The sequence below is a fragment of the Homo sapiens genome, chromosome 18 (genome assembly GCF_000001405.40).
Source record: "Homo sapiens chromosome 18, GRCh38.p14 Primary Assembly".
Classification (NCBI taxonomy): domain Eukaryota; kingdom Metazoa; phylum Chordata; class Mammalia; order Primates; family Hominidae; genus Homo; species Homo sapiens.
The window spans coordinates 77,346,521-77,357,019 of NC_000018.10; the positions used below are offsets into that span (position 1 = coordinate 77,346,521).

Below are 10,499 nucleotides of genomic sequence, written 5' to 3' on the forward strand. Positions count from 1 at the left end.
AAAAAAAAAGTTTTACAAACAAAATAAAAAGCAAAAAAATAAACTAGGGAGAATTGCCAGAAATTTCACAGACATTGAGTTCATAGACTCTGAGTTCATCAGAGTCTACACACTTGGCAGAGAAGACTCTACATCAGTGATTCATAGGAAATGGAAATGTGTCATAAATAAGCAACAAGGTTTTATTTCAACAATTCTAAAAGAGATACTGGTCAACTACAAATTAGCAAAAATGAGAAGCCCAAATCATATTCAGTGTTGATCTGAGCCCAGACACAACTATTCCTCTCACTGTTAGTGGAAAAATAAACTGGTGCAACTGTTTTTAAAGCTGTTTTACAATATTTGTCAAGATATACAGTGATATTAAGATTCTTCGATTTAATAATTGCAGCTTCAAAAACACATCCAAAGGGTTAGTTCCAGATGCAGACAATAATGTATGCATAAAAAGTGATATTAATTGGCTGGGCATGGCGGCTCAAGCCTGTAATCCCAGCACTTTGGGAGGCCAAGGCAGGTGGATCACGAGGTCAGGAGTTTGAGACCAGCCTGGCCAAGATGGTGAAACCCTGTCTCTTCTGAAAATACAAAAATTAGCTGGGCGTGGTGGCAAGCACCTGTAATCCCAGCTACTCGGGGGCCTGAGGAAGGAGAATTGCTTGAACCCAGGAGGTGGAGGTTGTAGTGAGCTGAGATCATGCCATTGCACTCTAGCCTGGGCAACAGAGGAAGACTCCATCTCAAAACACAAACAAACAAACAAACAAACAAAAAAACAAATTTACACTCCCAACAACAACAACAAAAAGCATTCCTATTTCTCCACATCTTCTCCAGCATCTGTTGTTTCCTGACTTTTTAAAGGATGCCGTTCTAACTGTGTGAGATGCTATCTCATTGTGGCTTTGATTTGCATTTCTTTAATGACAAGTGGTGATGAGCATTTTTTCATGTGTCTGTTGGCTACATAAATGTCTTCTTTTGAGAAGGGGCTGTTCATATCCTTCACCCACTTTTTGACAGGGTTGTTTGTTTCTTTCTTGTAAATTTGTTAAAGCTCTTTGCAGATTCTGGATATTAGCCCTTTGTCAGATGGATAGATTGCACAATTTTTCTCTTATTCTGTAGGTTGCCTGTTCACTCTGACGATAATGACTTCTTTTCCTCTGGGTAGATACCCAGTAGTGGGATTGCTGGATCAAATGGTAGTTCTAGTTTTAGTTCTTTAAGGAATCTCCACACTGTTTTCCATAGTGGTTGTGCTAGTTTACATTCCCACTAACAGTGTAGAAGTGTTCCTTGATCACAGCATCATTGATTTTTTTGATTATGGCCATTCTTGCGGGAGTAAGGTGGTATCACATTGTGGTTTTGATTGGCATTTCCCTGATCATTAGCGATGTTGAGCATTTTTTCATATGTTTGTTGGTCATTTGTATATCTTCTTTTGAGAATTGTCTATTCATGTCCTTAGCCCACTTTTTGATGGGATTGTTTTTCTTGCTGATTTGTTTGAGTTCCTTGTAGATTCTGGATATTAGTCCTTTGTCAGATGTATAGATTGTGAAGATATTTCTCCCACACTGTGGGTTGTCTGTTTACTCTGCTGACTGTTCCCTTTGCTGTGCAAAAGCTCTTTAGTTAAGTCTCAGCTATTTATCTTTGTTTTTATTGCATTTGTTTTTGGGTTCTTGGTCATGAAATCTTTGCCTAAGCCAATGTCAGGAAGGGCTTTTCCAATGTTATCTTCTGGAATTTTTAGAGTTTCAGGTCTTAGATTTAAGTCCTTAATCCATCTTGAGTTGATTTTTGTATGAGGTGACAGATGAGGATCCAGTTTCATTCTCCTATATGTGGCTAGCCAATTAACCCAGCACCATTTGTTGAAAGGATGTCCTTTCCCCACTTTATGTTTTTGTTTGCTTTGTCGAAGATCAGTTGGCTGTAAGTATTTGGGTTTATTTCTGGGTTCTCTATTCTATTACATTGGTCTATGTGCCTATTTTTATAACAGTACCATGCTGTTTTCCTGACTATGACCTTATAGTATGGATTGAAATCAGGTAGTGTAATGCCTCCAGATTTGTTCTTTTTGCTTAGTCTTGCTTTGGCTATATGGGCTCTTTTTTGGTTCCATATGAATTTTAGAATTTTTTTTTCTAATTCTGTGAAGAATGATGGTGGTTTTGTGATGGGGACTTCACTGAATTTGTAGATTGCTTTTGGCAGTATGGTCATTTTCACAATATTGATTCTACCTATCCATGAGCATGGGATGTGTTTCCATTTGTTTGTGTCATCTATGATTTCTTTCAGCAGTGTTTTGTAGTTTTCCTTGTAGAGGTCTTTTGCCTCCTTGGTTCGGTATATTCCGAAGTATTTTATTTATTTATTTATTTTTATTATACTTTAAGTTCTAGGTTACATGTATACAACGTGCAGGTTTGTTACGTAGGTATACATGTGCCTTGTTGGTTTGCTGCACCTGTTAACTCGTCATTTACGTTACGTATTTCTGCTAATGTTATCTGCCCCCAAGCCCCCCACCCCCTGACCAGCCCCAGTGTGTGATGTTCCCTGCCCTGCTGCCCTGTGTCCATGTGTTCTCATTGTTCAACTCCCACCTATGAGTGAGAACATGCGGTGTTTGGTTTTCTGTCCTTGTGATAGTTTGCTTAGAATGATGGTTTCCAGTTTCATCCGTGTCCCTGCAAAGGACATGAACTCATCCTTTTTTATGGCTGCATAGTATTCCGTGGTGTATATGTGCCACATTTTCTTAATTCATTTGGGTTGGTTCCAAGTCTTTGCTATTGTGAATAGTGCTGCAATAAACATACGTGTGCATGTGTCTTTATCGTAGAATGATTTATAATCCTGTGGGTATATGCCCAGTAATGGGATGGCTGGGTCAATTGGTATTTCTAATTCTAGATCCTTGAGGAATCACCACACTGTCTTCCACAATGGTTGAACTAATTTACACTCTCACCAACAGTGTAAAAGCATTATTTCTCCACATCCTCTCCAGCATCTGTTGATTCCTGACTTTTTAATGATCGCCATTCTAATTGGAGTGAGATGGTATCTCACTGTGGTTTTGATTTCCATTTCTCTGATGACCAGTGATGATGAGCATTTTTGCATGGACAAAGACTTCATGACTAAAACACCAAAAGCAATGGCAAAAAAAGCCAAAATAGACAAATGGGATCTAATTAAACTAAAGAGCTTCTGCAGAGCAAAAGAAACTATCATCAGAGTGAACAGGTAACCTGCAGAATGGGAGAAAATTTTTGCATTTGCAATCTATCCATCTGACAAAGGGCTAGTATTCAGAATCTACAAAGAACTTAAACAAATTTACAAGAAAAAAACAAACAACCCCATCAAAAAGTGGACAGGATATGAACAGAAACTTCTGAAAAGAAGACATTTATGTAGCCAACAGACATATTTTATTTTATTTTTATTTTTTGCAGCTGTTGTAAAAGGGATTGAGTTCTTGATTTGATTCTCTGCTTGGTCAATGTTGGTGTATAGAAGAGCTACTAATTTGTGTACATTAATCTTGAATCCAGAAACTTTGCTGAATTCTTTTATCAGTTCTAGGAGCTTGGAGGGGTCTTTAGGGTTTTTTAGATAAACGATTATATCATCAGCAAACAGTGACAGTTGACTTCCTCTTTACCAGTTTGGATGCCCTTTATTTCTTTCTCTTGTCTGATTGCTCTGGCTAGGACTTCCAGTACTATGTTGAAGAGGAGTGGTGAGAGTGGGCATCCTTGTCTTGTTCCAGTTCTCAGAAGGAATGCTTTCAACTTTTCTCCATTAAGTATTATGTTGGCTGTGGGTTTGTCATAGTTGGCTTTCATTACATTGAGGTATATCCCTTGTATGCTGATTTTACTAAGGGTTTCAATCATAAAGGATGCTGGATTTTGTCGAATGCTTTTCCTGCATTTGACACCTTCTGCACAATCATGTGATTTTTGTTTTTAATTCTGTTTATGTGGTATATCACATTTATTGACTTGTGCATGTTAAACTAACCCTGCATCCCTGGCATGAAACCCACTTGATCATGGTAGATAATCTTTTTATACGTTGTTGGATTCAGTTAGCTAGTATTTTATTACAGATTTTAGCATCTATTTTCATCAGGGATATTGGTCTGTGGTTTTCTTTTTTGGTTATGTCCTTTCCTCATTTTGGTATTAGGGTGATGCTGGCTTCATAAAATGAATTTGGGAGGGTTCCCTCTTTCTTCATCTTGTGGAATTGTGTCAAAAGGATTGGTAACAACTCTTCTTTGAATGTCTAGTAGAATTCTGCTGTGAATCCGTCTGGTCCTGGACATTTTTTTGTTGGTAATTTTTTATTGCCATTTCAATCTTACTTCTTGTTATTGGTCTGATCAGGGTATCTAATTCTTCCTGATTTAAGCTAGGAGAGTTGTATCTTTCCAGGAATTCATCCATGTCTTCTAGGTTTTCTAGTTTATGTGCATAAAGGTGTTCATAGTGGTCTTGAATGATCTTTTGTATTTCTGTGGCGTCAGTTGTAATATTTTCTGTTTCATTTCTTAATGAGGCTCTTTGGATTTTCTCTCTTCTTTCTTTGGTTAAAGATTAACCAAGATGCTAACAGTCTATCAATTTTATATATCTTGTCAAAGAAGCAGTTTTTCATTTCATTTATCTTTTGTATTTTTTCTGTTTCAATTTCATTTAGTTCTGCTCTGATCTAGGTTATTTCCTTTCTTCTGCTGGGTTTGGTTTTGGTTTGTTCTTGTTTCTCTAGCTCCTTGAGGTGACCTTAGAATGTCAGCTTGTGCTCTTTCAGTCTTTTTGATGTAGGTGTTTAGGGTTATGAACTTCCCTCTTAGCACTGCCTTTGCTGTTTCCCAGAGGCTTTGATAGGTTGTGTCATTACTGTTGTTCAGTAGGAAGAATTTCTTAATTTCTATGTTGATTTCGTTTTTGACCCAATGATCATTCAGGAACAGGTTTTTTAAATTTCCATGTATTTGCATGGTTTTGAACGTTCCTTTTGGAGTTGATTTCCAGTTTTTTCCACTGTGGTCTGAGAGAGTGCTTAATATAATTTCAGTTTTCTTAAATTTGTTGAGGCTTGTTTTGTGGCCGATCATATGGTCTTTCTTGGAGAAAGTTCCATGCACTGTTGAATAGAATGTGATTTCTTCGGTTGTTGGATGAAATGTTCTTTATATATATATATGTTAAGTCCATTTGTTCCAAAGTATAGTTTAAATCCATTTTTTCTTTGTTGTCTTTCTGTCTAGTGCTGTCAGTGGAGTATTGAAGTCCCCCATTATTATTGTGTTGCTATCTATTTCATTTCTTAGGTATATTAGTGATTGTTTTATAAATTTGGGAGCTCCAGTGTTAGGTACATACATGTTTAGGATTGTGATATTTTCCTGCTGGACAAGGCATTTTACCATTATATAATGTCCCTCTTTGTCTCTTTTAACTGCTGTTGCTTTTAAGTTTGTTTTGTCTGATATAAGAATAGCTACCCCTGCTCACTTTTGGTGTCCATTTGCATGAAATGCCTTTTTCCACCCCTTTACTTCAAGTTTATGTGAGTCCTTATGTGTTAGGTGAGTCTCCTGAAGGCAGCAGCTAGTTGGCTGGTGAGTTCTTATCCATTCTGCAGTTCTCTATCTTTTAAGTGGAACATTTAGGCCATTTACATTCAATGTTAGTATTGAGATGTGAGGTACAATTCCATTCATCATTCTATTTGTTGCTTGTGTACCTTGTTTTTTTTTTTGTTGTTGTTGTTTGCTTTTAAATTGTATTTTTGTTTTATAGGCCCTGTGAGATTTATGCTTTAAAGAGGTCGGATTTGATGTGTTTCCAGGATTTGTTTCAAGATTTAGAACTCCTTTTAGCAGTTCTTATAGTGGTGGCTTGGTAGTGGAGAATTCTCTCAGCATTTGCTTGTCTGAAATAGACTGTATCTTTCCTTTATATATGATACTTCATTTAGCTGGATACAAAATTTTTGGCTGATAATTGTTTTGTTTGAGGAGGCTACAGATAGGGCCCCAATCCCTTCTAGCTTTTAGAGTTTCTGCTGAGAAATCTGCTGTTAATCTGATAGGTTTTCCTTTATAGGTTACTTGGTGCTTTTGCTCACAGCTCTTAAGATTCTTTCCTTTTTCTTAACTTTAGATAACCTGGTGGCAATGTGCCTAGGAAATGATCTTTTTTATGATGAATTTCCCAGGTGTTGTTTGTTCTTCTTGTATTTGGATGTCTAGATCTCTAGCAAGGCTGGGGAAGTTTTCCTCCATTATTCCCCCAAATATGTTTTCCAAACCTTTAGATTTCTCTTCTTCCTCAGGAACACCGAATATCCTTAGGTTTGGTTGTTTAACATAATCTCCAGACTTCTTGGAGGCTTTGTTCATATTTTCTTATTCTTTTATCTTTGTCTTTGTTGGATTGGGTTAATTTGAAGACCTTGTCTCGAGCTCTGAATTTCTTTCTTCTACTTGTTCAATTATATTGCTGAGACTTTCCAGAGCATTTTGCATTTCTATATGTGCGTCTAATGTTTCCTGAAGTTTTGATTGTTTTTTCTTTATGCTATCTATTTCCTTGAACATTTCTCCCTTCACTTCTTGTATCGTTTTTTGGATTTCCTTGTTAAAGAAAAGGCTGTTGTTCAGATTCTTTTGTCCCACAGGGTGTTCCCTTGATATAGTACTGTCCACCTTTTCCTATGGATGTGGCTCCCTGAGAACCAAGCTGTAGCGATTGTTCTCTCTCTTCTGGATCTAGCCACCTAGCAAGTCTACCCAGCTCTGGGCTGGTACTGGGGGTTGTCTGCACAGAGTCCTGTGATGTGGACCATCTGTGGGTCTCTCAGCCATGGATACCAGCATCTGTTCCAGTGGAGGTGGCAGCGGGTTGAGATGGTCTCTGAGGGTTCTTAGCTTTGGTGGTTTAATGCACTATTTTTGTGCTGGTTGGCCTCCTGCCAGAAGGTGGCGTTTTTCAGAAAGCATCAGCTGTGGTAGTGCAGGGAGGATCAGGTGGTGGGTGGGGCCCTAGACCTCCCAAGAGTATATGCCCTTTGTCTTCTGCTACCAGAGTGGGTAGGGAAGGACCATCAGGTGGGGACAGGGCTAGGCGTGTCTGAGCTCAGACTCTCCTTAGGCAGGTCTTGCTGCAGCTGCTGTGGGGGATGGGAATGAGGTTCCCAGGTGAAGGAAGTTGTGTACCTAGGAGGATTATGGCTGCCTTTGATGAGTCATGCAGGTTGTTGGGGAAGTGGAGGAAAGCCGGCAGCCACAGGTCTCACCCCATTCCTGTGTAATCTGAAGGGCCAGTCTCACTCCCACTCTGCCCCCGTAACAGCCCCAAATCTGTTTCCAGGAGGACCGCGTGCAGGGCTGAGACCTTGCCCAGCCTACCTGCCTCTCAACGGGAAAGAAAAAGTCTTAGTTCCTTCCCCGCCTATGGAGTCTGCACAGTAGATTCGCACCCTCCCCCAAGTTCTGGCCGGGAAGCTTCTCACCTGGTTCAAATTGTTAACAGAGTTCAGCTGGAGACTTCCTTCTCGTTGCGTTTTCCCTGTGCCTCTGGCCACCCTCCCAATGGATCCCTGTGGTGCCAGGCAGGAATGGTCTGCTTCGGAACCCAGCGAGCTCCCAGGGCCTTTCCTGCTGCTTCCTCTACCCCCGTATTTCCTTGGCTCTCTAAATTGACTCAGCTCCAGGTAAGGTCAGAAACTTCTCCCACAAACTAGACCATCAGTTTCCCCAGTGGGGGAGTGTGTGCCAGGGTGGAGGAACTCTCTTTCCCACTTCCGCAGTTTGGGCATTCACAGTAGTATTTGGGGTGTCTTTGGGTCTTGCAGGTGCAATCCACTTCCTTCAGAGGGTCTGTGGGTCCTCTCAGGTTTCCTGGTTTGCTCCTCCAGTCGTTCTGGAGCTAAAATTCACCATGCAAGCCTCTGCACACTGCTCTGTCTGTCCGAGTCAGAGCTGCAGTCTAGTCCTTCCTCCCCTCCGCCATGTTGATCCTCCACCTATGCCAAAATATTAACAACAGTTATCTCTAGGTTGTGAGGTTATGAGGACTTTAATCTGTTATTTATACCTATTTTCACATTTCATCAATGAGCATACATAAGGCTTATTTTTAAAAATTACATATATTCTTAAATCATGTAACCCTCACATCCATGCTCTTCTCAGAAGTCATTATTGTTACAATTAGCTTTGTAAACTCATTCTGTTTTTTTCTATGCAATTGACATGAAAAACATTAAAGAAGCAAATATCACTTTTGTTTTTTTTTTATGTGACTGATGTACCATACTCACATCTTGTTGTTTTTTTTTTCCAAATATTTTGGAGCTATTTTCAAGTCATGACATGTTGTTCAACCTATTTTATCTTTTCTCTGTGATGTGAGAAGCTTGATCTCTGTGAACACTCTATATTGATTTGTTCACACAGATAATAAATAAATTAGGTAAGTGTTGCCCGTTTCAGAACATTTTCATGCTTAAAATGAAGGCTATTTATATGAAAGTCTGTTTCTATGATTGCAAAGTGTTACTGTAGCTCAATTATAATTTACAGACCACCTAGCATGTAATGGGCTATGTAAGACAGCTGGTGGGCTCACAGATAAGCAGACATGGTATTAGACACACTACGGGGTTGCAGAACAGGTTCTCCCCTCCAAATCCAAACCTTATACAAAACCAAAACCTTTGGTTTTGTATAAACGTGGCACAGCTGGCCACGTCTTTTCTTCCTAAATGTTTCTCTTGCTTTGGCTTCCATAACATTCTCTTCTCCTGGGTTTTTGCTAATTCTCTGCCTCCTTCCATTGGCCCTTTACTAATTTTCTTTCTTCTACACTATTTTTAAATATTGGGGCTCTTCAAATCTTGACACATTCTTTCTTTTTCTCTGCACTTGTTCACCTGGCAAACTCACCAATCCTATTGCTTTAAATATCAACTATATTTTTAGGGCCCCAAATTATATATTCTTAAACTTTAGACCTATATATCCAACTGCCTATTTGTAACTGCCATGCGAAAGTCTACAGAGCACCTCAAATTTCATGCTCTTTGGTTTTTCTCAGTTTCATTACTTTTTTTATCACACAAGTTGATAGATTCTGATAGTAAGAAGTAGATGATGGCTAACATCTTTCTTTCTACAACCTAGTTACCATGTGGTGTGTTACCAGGGAAGCAAGAATCACACTGAATTCTGCCATGTCTAGAAACATGACCAGAAGCAAGGCATAAAGGGATGAAGGAATAAACGCATAAAGGGATCCAGCCTGCTCTCGACGACGCCCAGGCTTTCTACATGCTTTTAGGCTCTTGATGAAGTCCTTGCATGAAAGGTTTACTTGGGAGAGAGGCAGCAGTATCACCAGCAGGACTAAGTGAACCTGCTTATCAGGACTACGTGCGTGAATTTTCTGTGAGTGGCAGACATAGGCCCGCAAGGAGCTCTAAGCGTCCTGTAGTTGTCAGGTTGTTATACCCTGTTCATGCAACAAGGGAGGGTCTGTGCAGCACGTCTCTCCATTTCGTGTGTCTCAAATGGCTTTCATTTCACTGGTGAAAGATGACTTCTAGCATCTGTTGTGCTAAAACACAAACTCTGGTGCTGACCCTAAGTAAGACAAGTTAGAGTTTGTAGATGTTCCAGTGTGGTTTGTGAAGTGTATATTCTAGGTTGGAATAGTTCAAATATTAACCAACACCCCCAGGATGCACAGATGAAAACTAACCCTTACACTTGTATTGATTGTGCTGTCTCTGCTTAAGTATTTAAAAGTAAATGATGGCGACACCCAAAGCCCAAACTCCTTCCTGCCCCATGATCTGCTTCTCAGTAAAGGCTGCCTTTATCTTCCCCAGAGCTGAACTGGGCATTGTCCTTGATAACGCCTTCTTTTACCTCCACCCTCAGATACCCGTCCCGTCCCACCCTGTTGGTTATCCTCTAAGACATTCCTGCAGTGTGTTCACTTGACTTTATTTTTCCTTTGGCAAGACATCTTGTCCAGACCACAGCAGAGGCTGATTTGCTCTCCCAAATCCCCTCTTTCCTGCTCCATTTTCCTTGCACATGCTACCCCCTCATCCGTAAAGTCATCGAGACTCACTCTTACAGGAATGATTGCAATCCATGCTCTGAAAATGGCCAATGCATTCTCTTTGACTATTTCCAGTGTATACATGATGATGGGTTTGAGGCTATTGTTGTACGATTGTGTATTGATCATGGATCAGATATGTGTAGAGCAACGATTCCCATCCATTCTGTCACTCACACTGTAATGTGTTAGGACTATCTTTTGTAGCACAGAAGTTTTACATTTTTTAAGTTGAGTTTGTTAGGGTTTTTTGCTTTTTTCCCCAGTGCTTTTGTAGTTTGTTTTGCTTCCTTTACATTGAATGTTTTAATCCATCTGTAGTTG

The 10,499-nt window shown here is 39.7% G+C and overlaps 1 annotated feature.

The window, feature by feature from the left end:
• Positions 6,871 to 8,070: an enhancer, noted in NCBI's record as "MED14-independent group 3 enhancer chr18:75065347-75066546 (GRCh37/hg19 assembly coordinates)". NCBI's record gives its function as "activates an origin of replication core promoter dependent on BRD2, BRD4, P300/CBP and CDK7 cofactors, and independent of MED14, by STARR-seq in HCT116 cells {active_cell/tissue: HCT116}" and the evidence as "EXISTENCE:reporter gene assay evidence [ECO:0000049][PMID:35650434]".